This window comes from Homo sapiens, chromosome 11, assembly GCF_000001405.40.
Source record: "Homo sapiens chromosome 11, GRCh38.p14 Primary Assembly".
Classification (NCBI taxonomy): domain Eukaryota; kingdom Metazoa; phylum Chordata; class Mammalia; order Primates; family Hominidae; genus Homo; species Homo sapiens.
Genome location: NC_000011.10, coordinates 73,358,381 through 73,375,506, shown reverse-complemented (window position 1 = coordinate 73,375,506; position 17,126 = coordinate 73,358,381). Strand labels below are relative to the sequence as shown.

The window sequence follows — 17,126 nt, the reverse complement described above, 5'->3', positions numbered from 1 at the left end:
TGCTGGGCCAGAGGCCTGGCTGGGGTCAGGATAATCACAGCCCATGACAGAGATGGAGAAAGGAAGGTAAATAAGTCAGCTGGGGATAGATGGCTGGGGGTGGGGTTCTAAACAGTCATAGAATCTGAACCCAGGGGCTAGGAGACGGAAAAGGTCAGGTCCCCAGGGTCCAGGAGATTCCAGGAGGCGAACTGGACACCGCATGGGGAGGGGAGCAGGGGATGAGTTTTCATTTCCCTGGGTCATGCTCAGGTTGTGGGGGAAGGGCATAAGGAGCTACAGGTCATTGATGTCAGGATCATGACATCAGCACCCTCATATGTCAATGGAGACCTCCAGGGCTGGGGCAGGGGTTCTTCCAGGGTCCCACATCCCAGCCTACGGAAGGCCAGAGCATCCAGAATGCCTCCACTCCTGGAAATGTTTTCTTTGTAAGGGGACCATCTACACCCCAGCTCTAGGTTCTAGAGTTCAAATGGTGGCAATTTCAGGTGTCGTCACTCAATAAACCAAATGGGGAAGGCCAGGTGTAGTGGTCACACCTGTAATCCTAGCACCTTGGGAGGCTGAGTTGGGAGGATCACTTAGCCCAGGAGTTCGAGACCAGCCTGGGCAACATGATGAAGCCCAGTCTCTACAAAAATATGTGGGAGAATCACTTGAGCCCAGGAAGTTGAGACTGCAGTGAGCCGCGATCGTGCCACTGCACTCCAGCCTAGGTGAGAGAGTGAGACCTTGTCTCAATCAATAAACTAAATGGGGAAATGCTTTTTGGAGCACTGGCTATTAATCAGACATCCCAGAGAGGGTCCAGGCCCCTCTCTACCACCAGCTCTCTGTGAGGTTTTCATCAAATCCACCCCCAACTCAGTTTCCTCATCTGAAAACTGGGGTGCCAGACATGTTGCCTGAAGTTCTCTGTGGGAGGCGGCTACCTGGCTGCCCTGGCAGCAGCTCCATAGAGTAGGTCTCCTGGGGCCACAGCCCAAACACTTCTCGCTCCTGCAACCCCCAGGTTAGGAGGGAGCCTAATTATTATTTACTGCTGGGTGGATGCGCCAGCTCCTCCTGCAGCCAGCTCTGACCCTGAAACCACTGTGACGTGGGCTCCTCCCTGAGAGTCTACCAGCATCTGGGTTGCTCCACAGTGAGTAGACAGGGAAGGAGTTGTGGAAGCCACAGGAAAGATTTAGACTCGCTTTTTATGGAGCTTGGGGAACCACAGGCTTGAGAACAAAGGACTCTCAGAATCACAGGCTTTATAAAATCCTGGCATCTCAACTGAACCCATGGAGTCAGCACTGGAATCCCTGAGCTCAGGGACCTCAGAGACCATCTTGTTGAACTTCACATGGTACAGCTGGGCAAGTGGGCCCAGAGAATGTGTGCACCTCATTGTAGGTACACAGCACAAGGTCCCAGTAAACTGGGACGAGCTGTGATGGGGACCTGGAGGCAGGGGTACAGGTGCCATGCCCCAGCCAGGCCCTGCCTGGGGTGGGGATCCTGGGTCACAGAATCAGAGCCACCACAGTGTGGCTGTATGCAGGGGTCTGAGTAGATGACTGCCTTGGAGTCATGGACCAAAGGTAGTGGGTGCCACTCTGCTTGCTGGCTGTGCTAGAATTCCAAAAGGAAGTACATACAGTACAAGCCTGGAGGAACAGCAGGCTCATACTTAAATTTCAATGCTCCAGGCCAGGCGCGGTGGCTCACGCCTGTAATCCCAGCACTTTGAGAGGCCGAGGTGGGCGGATCACCTGAGGTCAGGAGTTGTAAACCAGCCTGGCCAACATGGTGAAACCCCATCTCTACTAAAAATACAAAGAAAAAAAAATTAGCCAGGTGCGGTGGTGGGCGCCTATAATCCTACCTATTTGGGAGGCTGAGGCAGGAGAACTGCTTGAACCCGGGAGGTGGAGGTTGCAGTGAGCCAAGATTGTGCCATCGCACTCCAGTCTGGGCTACAGAGCGAGACTGCGTCTCAAAAAAAAAAAAATAAAATTCAATGCTCCATCCTAGGCTAACCCCCAGCGGGCCAAGTCCTAACCCTAAGAAGGTGGGCTGCTGTCCTGTGTTTGTGTCTTAGCTCCAGGGGAGGGTGGGCTCAGTCTGAGGGGAAACTGAGGCTAGGAGGCCAGGATAGGGCTCAGCCTGGGGCCAGGCCAGAAGCTGAGCTGGGGCTGTCTGGGTCTGAGGACCAGGTTCAACCTGCATTTAGGTCCAGACCCTGGCCTGGGTCTGGAATCCCACTGGGGTGGAGGTGTCAAGTCTTTGGTGACTGCCTCACTGGCTCCCTCATGGGAGGCCCAGCACTCTCAGTTCCATCCATCCCAGGTTCTATTGCCCACCTGACTGGTGCTCAGGGAGGCAAGTGTAGGGTTTTCTTGTTCCCATGGTGAGTCTGAGAGAGGAACCCAGAGCCATGAACTGCAGACAATGGGGCTGGTGGGGACCCTGGGGACTGTCAGGGTGAGACTTGCAGTCCAGTTACCCTCTGGGCCCAGAACATGAGCAGGTCAAGAGCTAGGGAGTGTGAGCCAAGCCCAGGGAGGCAGGTGGCTTGCTGAAGCATCTGAGATTAAGGAGCCTGGAGAAGAGAAATCTAGGGGAAAATGGAAGAATATATGCTTTGGTGTCACATGGATAGTGGTTAAGTCCCACTTCTGCCATTGCCAGGCTGTGTGACCTTAGGCAAGTGACTTCACCTCTCTGAGAACTCGCCCATCCAAGCGTGTTATGAGGATCTGCTGAGACCTCATATCGGGGGCACCAGCTTCTTCCAGGACGCTGGGCTCAGGAGCTCTCTCTCCTCTCCCTTCCCTTGGTGCACTGTTTGCCCTGGGCAGCAGGGGCTCTGCCCGATTTATCCCTGATGCCTGCTCACTATCTCCCTCCCCAGTCCAGCCCAGCAAACTACCTCTGACCCAGCTTGGGATGCCAGCTCACTTGCCTTTGCCAGGCAGGACTCCTCATTGGCTATAATTGGGCCTAAAATAGACTTCCCCTTGCCGTTTCCTGCAACCTGGCCTGTGGCTTAAGGTCTGTGAGGACACAGACTTGGTGTTTGGCAGGCATGCAGAAGATGTAAAGGGCTCACAGAGGTCATCCAGGTCTATGGAGGGACAGACACTCGCCTGGCATCACACAGTGCCGAGAGCCTGGGCTGGAGCTTGAGTTCAAGCCCTGGGGTCCCCCATGCCCTCCCCAGGCCCTGCCCAGAAGGTTTAAGGTAAGGCCTTAGCCAGACTTGCTCCCTCCAAGCCCTCTGGACCAGCCCAGTGCTGAGGCTGGTTTGAGGTGTGTGACGGGGCCCCTGGAGGCCAGCTCGTCTAGCCTTCTGCCTCCCCTGGCTTTAAGGGTCATTTCCTGGCTTTTCTGACCACAGGAAACCTTCCTGCCTGGGCTCTCCTCCCCAGCTACCCCCAGCCTCAATGTTGCCTTTCTGTGTGACCTCAGGTAAGTTCCTGACCCTCTCTGTGCCTCATCTTTTCCATTAGATAGATGGTCTAGCTAAACCCTGACCCCTGTCCCAAACCCAAGGGACCACCTGGAGAACTCCCTTGAAGAGGAGATGGCCTCTGGCTTTGACTCTCCTCACTCATCTGGGATCTGGATCCCCTTCCCAGGGCTGGTCTAAGGAACATTAGTCCAGCCTCATGAGTGACTACATGTGACTCTGGGTGCTCAGGCTGTCTCTCCTGTCCTCCAGCCACACCAGGCCAGCCCTCCTCTTCCATGAGATACAGAGACCTGAGCAGACAGATTCCAGGTTCTATCAATTAGTGGTTAGGTGACCTTGAGGAAGGCATCTAACCTCTCTGAACCTCAGTTTCCTCATCTGAAAAGGAGGGTAATAATGGTATCAACCTCCCAGGACCATTGTGAGGATTCGAGATGATCCATGCTCCTGGCTTGCAGCAAACACTAAGTGGAAGCTGGGTTTATTGTTTCGTGGCATTCAAGACCTAGAGTTGGTTCTCACCTGAATTCTCCAGATTTAATTCAACAAATATTTACTGAGCATCTACTGTGTGTCACGCACTGTGGCAGGCCTGGGGATGGAACAAAGAACAAAATCCCACGCTCACGGAGCTCCCAATCTAGGCGCCCCTGCCTTTTCCTCTTTCCCCATCCACCTGGGCCTGCACCAGGCTCCTCTACCCCTCCTTGCCTTGGTTTGAGCTGTTCTTTTTTTTTTTTTGAGACAGAGTCTCCCTCTGTCACCCAGGATGGGGTGCTGTGTAACCTCGGCTCACTGCAACCTTGGCCTCCTGGGTTAAAGCAATTCTCCGCCTCAGCCTCCCAAGTCGCTATGACCACAGGTGCACGCCACCACGCCTGGCTAACTTTTGTATTTTTTGTAGAGATGGGGTTTCTCCATGTTGGCCAGGCTGGCGTTCCCTCTTAACATCAAACCCAAGCCCCACTTTCCCCCACACCAGTGGCTAACCATAGTCATTCCCTTTACAGCAGCAGTTCTCTACCTTGGCTGGTGAAGCTAGATCATGGTGTCAGAAGCCGGGGTGGTGGTTACCCTTGGAGGGCAGACCAGAAGGAGGTCTAAGGGGAGCTTCTGGGGTGATGAGATTTTCTGTTCCTTGACCTGGGTGTGTTCACTTTATGAATACCCATCACGCTGGGTCCTTTTTTATGTCCTTTTTTGTATAAATGTTATACTTCAACTAAAGGTTTCTGAAAAACATATAGACACCTGGGTCCCACCCTCAAAGTTCAGATTTAATTGGCTTGGAATTGGCCTAGGCCCTCATGATCATAATGTGCATCCCAGGCTGAGAACCACTGCTTCAGAGGAGGTAATCCTTCCAGGAGCCTCCCCTGGGCCGGGAGCCTGGGGTCTGATGCTCATTCCAGGGCCTCCCTGCCCACAGCTGATGGGGTCCGGGCTGTCCACAGGCTGGCCAGTGCCCTGGAATGTGGGCCTCTAAGTAACAGTGGGCTGGGCCAAGCCCATTCTTACTGAGGCACTTGAGTCGGGGAAGTGGTGAGGATCTGGTCTTGGGTATCTTGTGCTAAAACTGAAGTCTGCCCAGGGTCCTCCGAGTGGAGGAGGCGGAGGCCCTGAGGCAGCAGAAGCTGGAAAGCAGTGGAACAGCAACTGACTGGCAGTGTGGGAGGCACTGGCGACTCAAGTGGAGAGGCCAGATGTCCTGAGATGCAGCTCTGATGTCTGGGCCACAGTGCCCTGTGACAGCTCCTTGCTGCCAGCTCACATCTTCACTAATAAGCACCCTTCTAGTTCACAAGCAAAATGAATCTCTTTCTTGCAATCCAAAGACCTGTGCACGCCAAGCAGCAGTCCTGTTCGGGAAGGGATCATCAGCCTCATTTCACACGTGAGGAAATGGAGGCTCAGAGGGGATACAACTTGCCCAAAGGCACATAGCTAGTTAGCGGCAAAGTCAAGATCTCAAACAAGGTCTGTCCAGCTTCAAAGCCTGTGTTTCTTCTAATGCTTTGTTTCGTTATATATTCCACATGAATGATGCCTCCTACTCCATAATATATCTGTGCTTATTAATAGAATCCCTTCCTCCCCAGATAGCCCCAGTAAAATGATGCTGCACGGAGACGGTCCATGCCCGTCCTGTGGTGTTGAGGACCCAGCAGACCCCTGAGAGGTGTGCTGCCAGTTTGCAGAGCATGAGCTTGCATGCCCCTTCAGGGGCTGACTCAAAAGTCAGTCATTTAGGCTGGAAACGTTCGTGCGTGTAGCAGAGCTGAGGCACGACATGCCTTCTAGTGATGGCCACCTCTAGTTCTGCAGGTGCACTCTGGTCTGGAGGGCTCTCTGTCCTTGCACAGAATAGTCCCATGTTGCTGGGCCTGTGCGTTCTTGTGTCTGATTTAATGACAGACCTCTTCAGACCAGAAATCAGACAGACTTGGATTCTATCCCTGCTCCAAACACTTCAGAGGGTTGGAGCAGGGCCTTGGCCTTCATCAGGGTTCTCCAGCTGAGGCTTTGCTGGAGAACATTGTTTCCTGGAGGAGCCGTAGACAGGCTCAACAGGGGTCCTGGCTCTTTACCTGGAGCATGTCAGCTTCAGATTCCCAAGCTCCATCCAGGCCCACTGACTCAGAAGCTCTCAATTAATACGTAAATAAGTTACGAATCATGTTTCTGCATTTACATGTCATCTGCAAGGGATTCTACCATGTAACCCTGGTTACAAAGCACTGAACTGGTACAACCCCTTTATTTTCCTGATGAGGAAACTGCAGCCCAGCCACCTGCCCAGGTAACACAGCAAATCGTGGCAACCTCGCCGTCCAGCACTCTTCTGGGTCTCCAAGGCCTCCCTTCTTCCCAAGTGTGTGGACGTCGGAAGGCCCATGTGGCCAGGGAGACTGAGCCCTGAGGTTGCTGACAGGAGGCCACTGTGGCCACCAATGCAGTCATCTGGTGTTTCTATTTATTGACTCTTTAAACTTCATCATCCAAAGAGAGTTAATACATGACTGTTTGGTAGCAAGAGAAACATAATCTAAGACCGCAATGACCCACCCACCCCAAACAAAACCAAAACCAAACAGAACAAAACAAACCCCATCTGAAACCAAACCTTTGGAGTTTTAGCTGAAGAAGCGAGGGGGCTGAGGGTCAGAGTGGCTCTCTGTGGTCCAGGGGGTCAGGTAGAGGCTGCTCTCAAGTGGGAGCCTTCTCTGTTGAAAAGGCTACATTCAGCCCCTCAGCTTTGGGGGGTCCTTCCTGAAGGGGCTTCCCTTGGCAGAAGGGGTGTGGAGACGGATTCAGTGGTCAGAGGGGCTCCTAGGTCTGCCCTCCAAGGTGACCATATGTGCCAGTGCATGAGACACAGGGAAGCAGGGCCAAGGACTGGGGGCGACTGTGAGGAGATCATGGGCCCATTTCTCCTACCTGAGAGAAAGCCCTGTCCAAGGCCCCATCAGTGTTCCCAAATTAGGGAACCACTAAAGGCACCACCAACAAACTGGGAAATGACAAAGCCTGACAGGTCCCCAGATGGCAATCACTGCCCCCTAATAGTCAGCATCTTGATCTAGAGGACTGAGGGCAGCCCCATCAGGCTGGGGCCCTGGAAAGTTTATGTCAACGGGCAATGTTTAGGGCCTTGGACATGCAGTGTGCGTACGTGTGTGTCTGTATGAATGGAATGGGGCTCAGGGGCGCATGGGTCCCTCCAGGAAGGCTTGGTTAGAGTCCCAGGGTGGTCCCCAGGGCAGGAATAGGTTTCTTTTCCTCATGTCATTTCCTCAAATCACCCCCACCCCAGGTGACCAGGTCACTGCATAAATAAGTGCTTGGGAAGGTACACATCTAAAAAGAAACATAAATACTGTACATGGGGAATTCCCCAGCCTTCCTGCTGCCCTCCAGAAAACCCTCCAAATATTGCACATGGCCCTCCCCAGCCCCGTGGGGTCCAGACCCAGCTGTGTCTTTGGTAGAAGCTCCAGGGTCAGAGGTCCTGGTCAGCCCACATGTCCCCCACCCGATCATGACTGGAAGCACCGGGGCAGCCAGAGGGTCGGGAGAAGCCATGGCCTGGCTGGCCAGTGGGTGTTCCATCAGGAATGCTTCCGCGAAGACAAGGCAGAGCCCACGCAGGCACATGTGTGCCCCTGGCTGGATACTCCTGGTCAAAGTCTGCGTGTGGGCTAGGGAGAGGCAAGCAGGCTGAAGGCAGGTGGGCGGGCGAGTCCTGGGCCACGGCAGACAGGGTCACACCCTCCACAGGAGGAGGTGGTTTGTGCTGTCGTCTCGACCCACAGTCTCACTGCTGCTGCCGCCCCCACTGCTGAGTCGGAAGTCCTCATAGCCATCACCTCCACTGATAACCAGCATTTTAGGCCTGGCAGGGGCGGGGCCTCGGTGCCAAGGGGAGTCCCGGTGCTCCAGTGATGGCAGCTTCTCGGGGCCTGGGGGCAGAGGGGAGGATCTGTCAGCTTGGGGGCGAATGGAGGCTTCACTGTCCCATCGGGGCCTGAATTCCCACACCCCAGAAGATAGGAAGGAAGATGTGCACACTTCCTATGGGGGAATCCCACTTTCTGTTAGCTAGGAACTTATTTAGAAAGAAATGCCCACTTCTTGGCAGCCAGACTTCTTATGTCCCATCTGTAATCTCTAGTCAGGAGTCACATAATTTCCCAAGGTGACGCCACTTCTGATTTTTTTCTTTTTACAATGTAAGTGCCCTGTAAGATGCCACTTTCTATCTCTCTTGATTACTGCACGCAACGTCCTTGCATTAAATAAGCCTCCTACTTCCAACAGCCCTTTCCCAGGTAGCTTAAGTCTTCTGTGAACCCAGACAACTCCTGACCCGAGGCTTTATTGCTTCCTGATTTCCACAGCCACTTCCTCTTGGGAATATCATTTCTTGTCCTGCCAAAGCAAGACTTTTCTGGTTGTGGCCTCCTGATGTACCTCATTTCCTGCTGTTTCACTTTTTTTTTTGAGACGGAATTTTGCTCTTGTTGCCTGGGCTGGAGTGCAATGGCACATACTCTTGGCTCACTGCAACCTCCGCCTCCCTGGTTCAAGTGATTCTCCTGCTTCAGCCTCCCGAGTAGCTGGGATTACAGGCGCCCGCCACCACACCCAGCTAGTTTTTGTATTTTTAGTAGAGATGGGTTTTCACCATGTTGGCCAGGCTGGTCTCGAACTCCTGACCTCAGGTGATCCACCCCCTTCAACCTCTCAAAGTGCTGGGATTACAGGTGTCAGCCACCACGCCCGGCCATATTTTTATTTTTATTTTTTTGAGACAGGGTATCACTCTGTCACCCAGGCTGGGGTGCAGTGGTGCAATCTCTGCTGACTGCAGCCTCGACTTCCCTGGGCTCAAGTGAGTCTCCCACCTCAGCTCAGCCTCCTGAGCAGCTGGAACCACAGGTGTGTGCCACCACACATGGCTAATTTTTGTATTTTTTGTAGAGATGGTGTCTCACCATGTTGCCCAGGCTGGGTCCTGAACTCCTGGGCTCAAGCGATCCTCCCACCTCATCCTCCCAAACTGCTGGGATTACAGGTGTGAGCCACCGCGCCTGGCACCCGGCTGTTTCACTTTCTAATTATCAGTCCATTTTCTGTGCTAGTGCCATTCTATGTTGTTTTCTGTTGCTATTTCTATTTCCTGCTCTGTGCATCACTTCCTGATTCCACTTCCTGCCCTATATATCATTTCTAGTCCTGTGCTATTTCCTGGTGCATATAGGAAATATATACAACAGGACATATTTTCTATATACATATTCTATTTGTGACATATTCTACCTCTTAGGTTATAGTTCCCTCCCTGTCTCTCATGACATTTCTCTGGATAGAACTTTATATACACACAACACATGCAGGTGCGCACACACACACACACACACACAACTATCCTAGATTTCATTTGGACACTTCCGTGGTGTATTTCCTGTCACATATGCCACCTCCAGCTCTATGTGACACTTTTCCTCCCTCTTGAAAGCTCTTCTGGCAGGATAGTGGGGAGTCCTAAACCAAATGTCCATGATCCCTAGCTTGGGGTATGATGCACTGACCCACCTGTGTCTGGGGGAGGTGGTGGGGTTGGGCAGAGCAGGTTGAAGCCATCTGGCAGCTGGACTGCAGCCAAGAAGCGGACGTGGCCGGTGTGTCCCTGGCCGAGGCCTGTGGGACTGAGTGGTGCCCGTGGGCAGCTGACAGTACCGGGCGAAGTGGGCATGGTGAGGACGACACCAGCACTGGTGCCCACCCACAGCAGCTCCTCACACACCAGCAGCGCTGTGATTCGCAGACAGGCAGCCTTGTGCTGCCGGATGATGGCATCCGAGCCTGGGGTGGGAGACAGACCACAGCTGGGGCTGAATTCTGGCCCTGGCTCAGCCGCCTCTACGATCGGGCAGAAAGGCTCCAAGGAGGGTGCTGTGGTAGTTTGAGGTCAGTACCTGCCAGCATCCTGTGCACGGGAGGAGTGACGTCTACTTCTGCCAGCTGCTCAAAGGTGTCTGGATGGTAGAGACACACGTGGGCACTACCTTTCAATGTCACCCACACACCCAGGCTGGAGTCCACCATGCAAGCCACGCAGCGGCTTGAATCCTGACCCACGTAAAACATGTGCTGGGGAAGGCGGGGGAGAAGATGGGTCATTGGCAGGCCTGCCTCCCTTGGCCCACCCTAGCCTGGAGCTTCACCAGTGTCCATCCCTCACAACTCACACTAGCGTTGGTCCTTGGTCTGATTAACCTTTCGAAGCTTGGTTTCACCAGCACCTCCCAACTTAGTTCTCAGGAATTACAATGGAGGTGCTTTTTCCCCATTAAACTTGAGTGATTTAAGGATCAGAGAACTTCAATGCTTAAAGGGTTCTAAAATCAGTCACTGGCCTCCCCCTGGACAGGTGGGGAAGCTGAAGCCTAGAAGGGAAAGGTCACACAGCAAGTCAGTCACAGAGCTGGGGCCTGAACCCAGGGCTTTGGACTCCTGCCCAGCCAACAATGGAATAAGTGAGGGAAATTAAGGGAACCCGTTGCCCCTGGATACTTCTGACATGTGTGCAAGTGACATGTGCAGCAATAAATGCCAGAGTCTAATGCTAATGGATGTTGACATCAGAAAGGACTCTTGTCCTATCCCCAAAGGACCCTAAAACCTGAGTTGAGAGATAGGGTGGGCAGGAGGATGAATAAGATTCCTAATGTATATGGGACACTTACTGTATTCCTCATCAGCTACAGAAGAAATGAGGATCGAAGGAGGACAGGGACTGGCCAGCGTCACTCTGTGGTCAGAGGAAGGCCCTAGCCCTCTGCTGGATGCTGCTTATGCCCCTACCATGGTCTCCATCTCCCTGTCACACGGACCTAGCTCATCCCATGGCACCAATTCCATTCCCCCACCCCCTGCTACCTCCAGCTGCAGCGTGTCAGGGCTCAGGACAAGGACTCGGTTCTGGCAGCCACACCACAGCCGCCCACCCACAGATACCATCTTGGTGATGGGGCTCCCCTGGGTGCCCAAGGTCACTGATTTGAAGTTCTGGGGGTCCCAGAAATGGCCTGGAGTGGGGTAAAGAAAACAGGAAATTCACTCCAGTTCTAAATTTGAGCCTCGGTCTCCCCTGAAATGAGATGTTAACATTCCCCTTTTATAAGCAAAGAAACCAAGGCCCACAGAGGGCCTGGGAGTTGCCCAAAGCCACATCTCCAGGAGAGAGCCCCAACACCAGTAAGGGGACAGGGGCAGGGTGTGGGGGAGGGCAGATACTCACCTGCTTCCCTTTGGTAGACCACAAGCTCTCCATTGGCCAGAGACACAAACACCTGGTTATTCAGATACCTGGGTAGGGAAAAGAGGAAGCAGTAAGGGAGTTCAGGCAGCCAAAGTGGGTCACCCAGGACCAGGGGAACCACAGATAGAATGGGTATGGCTCCCGAGAGGCCACCTCTTCCCACCCCTTGTTCTCCAGGTGGGGGTTGCCTGAGGCTAAGAAAAGGGGGTGACTTGCCCGAGCTCACACAGTGTGTAAGAGGCACAGCTAGCCTAGGGCCAGGCCTCTGGCTTCCAGCCTCCACACAGAGGAGGGACAGTAGAGCAGGGGGACCAGATGAACAGAAGGAGGCCTGCACGTGTGGCTGAGAAGAGTCTAGATAGGAAGGGCCACCCTGGGGCCTTACAAGATGCAGGTCACAGAGGCCGCATGCTGGAGCTTCATGCTGTTCCTGCGGTCACGGATGCTGTCGGAGGACTGGTACACGTGGACACTGTGGATCGGGGTATGCACCTGGGACAAATGCTTGGGGCACACCAGCCCCTGGAGTCATCCCTCCACCTCTTTGCCCCTAGCACCACGTCTTCAATGCTGGGTGCCTGCCCAAGGTACTGAGGTCCCACAGCCTCCCTGGGATTGTCAGACCCACTGACATCCCTGGTCAGCAGTACCCCTGAGGTGTGACCCAAAGCCCTCCTGCCTTGGCTCCAGGGGACCACATGATTTCCAGAGCAGGGAGCTCAGAGTTCTGGCACTGTGTCCCTAGTCCCTCCCCTGTCCCTACCAGCCATCCTCAGTGCCCAGCCACACGGAGCTCTGGTAGGCCTCAGGGTCGACACTCAGCAGGTCCTCAAGGCTGCCCCGGGTGAAGGAGCCGTGGCTGGAGCGGCGAAGGGCTCTCCCATCCATTGGGCTGGTGCCGCAGGGACCACCAGGCCCAAAGGAGCCAGACAGTGGCAGGAAGCCTGGCTCCTGCTCCTCCTCTGAGCTGGTGGTCTCTGCCGTGGCCTCCTTGGAACTCGGGGTCTCCTCATCTGAGGGAGACAAAGGTCTCTGTCTCCATTTCCCTCTGCCAGGCCTGGGACCTGATATCTTTCTAGGCCATGCATCCCTCCTGGCCATGCCCCTCCGGAAGGCCTCTCAAAGCTGTTCTTCCCCGGCCTGCTCCGGTCTGCTGCCCTGCTGCCCTGCTCACCGACAGCTCAGCACTACAGAATCCTTGATCTTGCCTGGCCCCTCAGACCCAGTGGCCACACCGTGGGTCCCCACTCCACCAGCACCCCATCTTCCTTAGCTGAGTGCTCCAGGGTCTTCATGATCCCGCCTGACTGTCCCACTGTCCTCTGGATCCTTGGTGTCACATCCCCTGCCCTCATTGCTCTGTGTGCTAACATCCTGAGGTCTGACGCCATGCCTTTGCCCTACACTGGTCCCTCCTCTCCCCCTCCTCTGGGCAGTCCACCCTGCCTGCCAAGGCCAAGTTGGAGGAGATGGCCAAAGCTCACTGCCAAAGCTGGAGGAGATGGTGGACCGGCTGGCCTGGCTCTGCAGCGTCCCCGAGGGGCTGGGCGAAGACTCATCGTCAGAGTCACTGTCAAAGGGCACCAGCTCTGGGCGGGGGTCACCCTCGCCGAGGCCCGGCGTCATCTCCAAGCCCGAGCCTGCAATGGAGATGTGAAGGCAGGGCTGCGGCCCCGGCTCCGCGAGCGTCGCGGCTTCCTCGTCTGCAGCGGCCTCGACGTCCAGCTCCGGCCCGGCGGGCTCCGGTGCCGTCTCTGGAGGACTCCTCAGCGACGGAGGAGGCTCCCTGCGAGAAGACGGAGTGAGGATGACAGCAGCTACGAGCCAGACGGGGCCCCGGTGGTGGACACGCCCACCGACCCCGCCCACACTCGCCGGGCCCCGCCCACAACCACGCCGGGGCGGCCTGAGAGTGTGCTGGGACAGGGGTTGGTTCTCCCAGGCCCGCGGTGCCGCCCACCCCGCCGCCCAGGCCTCACCGGTGGCAGCGAGGCTGCAGCCCGGGCACCGCCCCGATGCAGAGGATGCGGGCGGAACAGACGGCGATGCAGGCCTCCACGTCCGGCTCGGCGCGCAGGCTCAGCAGGCACACCTGGCCCACGTAGCCGTCGCTGTTGCAGACCCATACCTCAGGCGAGGGCTCCGGGCAGCTGTTCAGGGTGGGAGCCGCACAGGAGAACTGCAGGAGGCGCCAATGGACAGGAGAAGGTGAATGGAGGAACTGCTGCCAGCATTCCCCACTCCTGGGAAACCCCGGCAGAATGGAGGGAGGCAGGCCTGCATGGGTGTGTGTGTGTGGATGCCCTATACACCCTTCTACACACGCGTACACATACACGCGGCACAGGACCCTTTTTTTTTTTTTTGGATTGGTTCTTGCTTTGTCTCCCAGGCTGGGGTGCAGTGGTGGGTTCATGGCTCACTGCAGCTTTGACCTCCAGGGCTCAAGCAATCCTCCCACCTCAGCCTCCTAAGTAACTGGGACCACAGGGGCGCGCCACTAAACGTGGATAATTTTTGAATTTTTTGTAGAGATAGGGTCTTGCCTAGCCTGGTCTTGAACTTTTAGGTTCATGTGATCCTCCTAACTTGGCCCCACAAAGTACTGGAATTACAGACGTAAGCCACCGCACCTTGCCCATGTGACCCTCTACACATCAAATGCACTCATGCCTATGGGATACAGGCATCATGCCTACATGTACACACACATATCCCCAGATATAATCATGGATACATGCATAGAAAAAATGTGATGCTGGTAACCTCTGTACATATGTATGCAGCCTCATACAAGCACATAAATGAAGCTACTTCCCATCATTCATATAACCTTTGTTCACATGCACAGATACAGATATGCACGAAGCATACCCATATACATGTGTACATGTAATACATATGCAGCACCCACACACATGTACAGAGAGCTGAATTCTCCAAGACATAAGGAGCAATAGCAATGTTCACGGCATATACACAATGTCGTACACAAAAATTCATGAACACCTGCTGGCTTTGAAAACATGTACCCAAGTGACCCAGATGCAGACATACCTGCATGCCACTGCGGGTTTTCATGATGGGGATGGCCTTCAGGAACTCAGGGTCTAGACAGCTTTTGCTGGATGCTGTAGTGGAGATGGACAGACAGACGGACCCTGCTTAGCATAGCATCCATCTCACCCTGGTCCTGCCCCTGCCCCATTCCCCTTCCTCCCCTGCCCCTCAGGGTCTCTTTAGGGGAAGGCCTGATCCCAGCCACATTAGAATAAGGCAGTTGCTCCTGGCCTCAATCTTTTCCCATGTGTATTGTCTTGGGGTTAGACCCAGAGGTCTCTGTGGATCTTCTAAGCCATGAACCCTGATCAATCGCTTTCCCTGATCCAGCCCTGCTCAGAGTGTGTGTAGGGAGGGTATGGCGAGGGTCTTGGCTATCGGTGCCCACTATGGGGCAGGTCCAGCAGACAGTGAGACCCTATCCATGGAATCCCCTCCCTGCCAGGGAGGCCACAGCTATTATTCAGTCTGATGTTTCACTGCAGAAGCCCCCCTCCCCACCAGGTGGAGCCGGAGCACAGGGCACTGCGGTTCTGGCTCCTGAAGTCACAGACAGCTGTGAGATGCCTCTGGCCTCCTGCCTGGAAGCTCTAGGAGGAGAGGGCCAACATGTGCCTTGGCTTACCCAGCTTCCTCTTGGCCTCATCGAAGGCCTGTTCAAAACCAAGGCGGGCGTCAGGGTGAGGGAACTCAAAAATGTAGGAGTCGGTGCCCTCGGGCCGAGTGGCGCACAGCTCCAGCTTGGTTGGCGGGAAGGAAAGCGCGTAGCACAGCGCCTGCTTCTCCGACAGGTCCCGGTGCATGGCAGCTGAGAGGTCCCGCAGTGCATCGTCCAGGCTCTGTGGGGAAGAGGGCCCAGGCCTCAGGCCCCAGCATCTCACCAGAGCCTGCACCTGCCCTTAATGTGTGGGGACCTGCCTCTCTCCTTAGACAGCAAGTGAGACTGTCTCCTCCCTCAGACCTGGATTCCTTTGATATATGGGGGATGGGGCCTCTGTCACCCTCTGATGGGGATGCAGCTATGTCTCCACCCTCAGACCTGGAACATGTTACTTCCCCCATACGCAGGGAGGCTGCGATTTTTGCCTTCAGATGAGGGAAAGGGATGTCTCTTCCCTCAGGCAAATGTCAGGGCTGTCTATCTCTCAGACAGGGTCAGAAGCCTCCCACCCTCTGGCTCCCCAGTGTCAGGCAGAGGGCACAGACCTGGTGGGGGAAACCAAGGCTCTCAGAGAGCTTGCTCATTTGGCCCAGGGTGGTGAGGTCCTCATCAAGGCGGCTGATGGCCTTCTGGATGTTCTCCCGATTGGTGGCTTGGGATGCCCCTAGAGGGAGAGAGGAAGGCCGTGGACTGATACAGAGACAGACAAGGTCAGGCTGGGACAGACTCTCCTTCCCTCACTGCATAGCCTGCAGCTGGGCCGGGGAGAGACCTGACAAACCGAAAGCATAGAAACCCCAAGCTCTTGGGAAAAAAGTTAACAGGCAGCTCCCTGAGGAACCCCAGCCCTGTGAGCTGGGGACTAGGCCTGATTCAGAGCCATGTGGCGCAGGATGTCAGGCCCACGGAGAATTCCCAGGAGAGCATGGAGTATGAAATGGTGGCTGGCTCTGCGATACACAGGCCCTGGCTGACACGGAACTGCTGCGGCGTTGCAGCCTCCCGTGGGCGTGCTGACAGAGCAGGCAGAGCCCCAGGCAGTCAAATGTGCTGACCAAGAGACTCATCGCCCCACAAAGGAGGGGGCAGTGCATGGTGCCCTGGATTTCTATGGTCCTATCCCATACCTGAACACTGCCAAGCAGCTGGTCCTGCAGACGGCCTGCCGCCCTCAACCCAAGGCTTGGGACGCACATTCTGGACCAGTGGTCCATACATGGAGCTGTCCCTCCACCCTTGGGCCAGGACACATGTGTCTTGAAATCAAGGGAAAAGAAGTGTCTTTTTGCTTTTTCCTAAATGAGTTTCTTTTCCTGTTTTTCTCCAATCTAGTTTATAGAATGTGTTATTGGTGTATATAAATTTAATATTTGGGCCACAGGTTGCAGAATGGTAAGGCAGCCCTGGACGGGTCATGACAGCACTAGAGACATGGAACCTGAGACTGGCAAGTCCTGTCTGAAGTGGCCCTGTGACCAAGAACCCCGTGGGGGTGAGAGGCAGCCTGCTGAGGAGGGGAGGGCACGCTTTGTAACTGTAAGATGGAGTCACGCTGGACAGGGAGGCTGTCTCACTGTGTCTACGGGAAGAAGAGTGTGTGCCCGGTGGATGGCAGTGGAGTTTCCTGCCAGGCCGAGGCTGGGAACAGCTCTGCTGTTGCCTGAATGTTTGTGTCCACTCAACACTCACAGGTTGAAATCGAATCCTGAGTGTGTTGGTATTAAGAGGCGGACCTGGCTGACGTGTTGGCTCACGCCTGTAATCCCAGCATTTTGGGAGGCCGAGGTGGGCAGATCACAAGGTCAGGAGATCAAGACCATCCTGGCTAACATGGTGAAACCCCATCTCTACTAAAATACAAAAAAAAAAAAAATTAACCGGGCGTAGTGGTGCGCACCTGTAGTCCCAGCTACTTGGGAGGCTGAGGCAGGGGAATTGCTTGAACCCGGCAGGCAGAGGTTACAGTGAGCCGAGATCGTGCCACTGCACTCCAGCTTGGCAACAGAGTGAGACTCCGTCTCAAAAAAAAAAAAAAAAAAAAAAAGAGGCGGACCTTTGGGAGGTGACCTGGTCATGAGGGGGAAACCATCGTGAATGAGATTTGTGCCGATAAAGGG

The 17,126-nt window shown here is 54.9% G+C and overlaps 1 protein-coding gene across 1 annotated transcript in view, besides 3 other annotated features; it reads right to left on the bottom strand.

Annotated features, from left to right (window-relative positions):
* Positions 1–6,118: 6,118 nt before the first annotated feature.
* The window catches only part of ARHGEF17 (Rho guanine nucleotide exchange factor 17), a 61,113-nt gene continuing 50,105 nt past the window's right edge, over positions 6,119–17,126 (bottom strand). Inside the window, exons 10-21 of the mRNA NM_014786.4 lie at positions 15,555–15,673; positions 14,974–15,187; positions 14,346–14,419; positions 13,268–13,467; positions 12,773–13,074; positions 12,052–12,301; positions 11,674–11,760; positions 11,268–11,335; positions 10,907–11,055; positions 9,943–10,117; positions 9,560–9,829; positions 6,119–7,923 (exon numbers count right to left, since the gene is read on the bottom strand). Coding sequence (NP_055601.2) covers positions 7,727–7,923; positions 9,560–9,829; positions 9,943–10,117; positions 10,907–11,055; positions 11,268–11,335; positions 11,674–11,760; positions 12,052–12,301; positions 12,773–13,074; positions 13,268–13,467; positions 14,346–14,419; positions 14,974–15,187; positions 15,555–15,673 — 2,105 coding nt within the window. The 3' untranslated portion in view covers positions 6,119–7,726. The remainder of the gene's footprint in view (positions 7,924–9,559; positions 9,830–9,942; positions 10,118–10,906; positions 11,056–11,267; positions 11,336–11,673; positions 11,761–12,051; positions 12,302–12,772; positions 13,075–13,267; positions 13,468–14,345; positions 14,420–14,973; positions 15,188–15,554; positions 15,674–17,126) is intronic.
* Positions 8,992–9,161: an enhancer, noted in NCBI's record as "active region_5235". NCBI's record gives its function as "activates an Ori minimal core promoter by ATAC-STARR-seq in GM12878 lymphoblastoid cells {active_cell/tissue: GM12878}" and the evidence as "EXISTENCE:reporter gene assay evidence [ECO:0000049][PMID:35858748]".
* Positions 12,953–13,459: an enhancer, noted in NCBI's record as "H3K27ac-H3K4me1 hESC enhancer chr11:73073093-73073599 (GRCh37/hg19 assembly coordinates)". NCBI's record gives its function as "activates a minimal SCP1, AML or CMV promoter by ChIP-STARR-seq in naive H9 embryonic stem cells {active_cell/tissue: H9 hESC(naive)}" and the evidence as "EXISTENCE:reporter gene assay evidence [ECO:0000049][PMID:30033119]".
* Positions 13,009–13,303: an enhancer, noted in NCBI's record as "tiled region #4120; K562 Activating DNase matched - State 4:PromP". NCBI's record gives its function as "activates a minimal TATA promoter and a strong SV40 promoter by Sharpr-MPRA in K562 cells {active_cell/tissue: K562}" and the evidence as "EXISTENCE:reporter gene assay evidence [ECO:0000049][PMID:27701403]".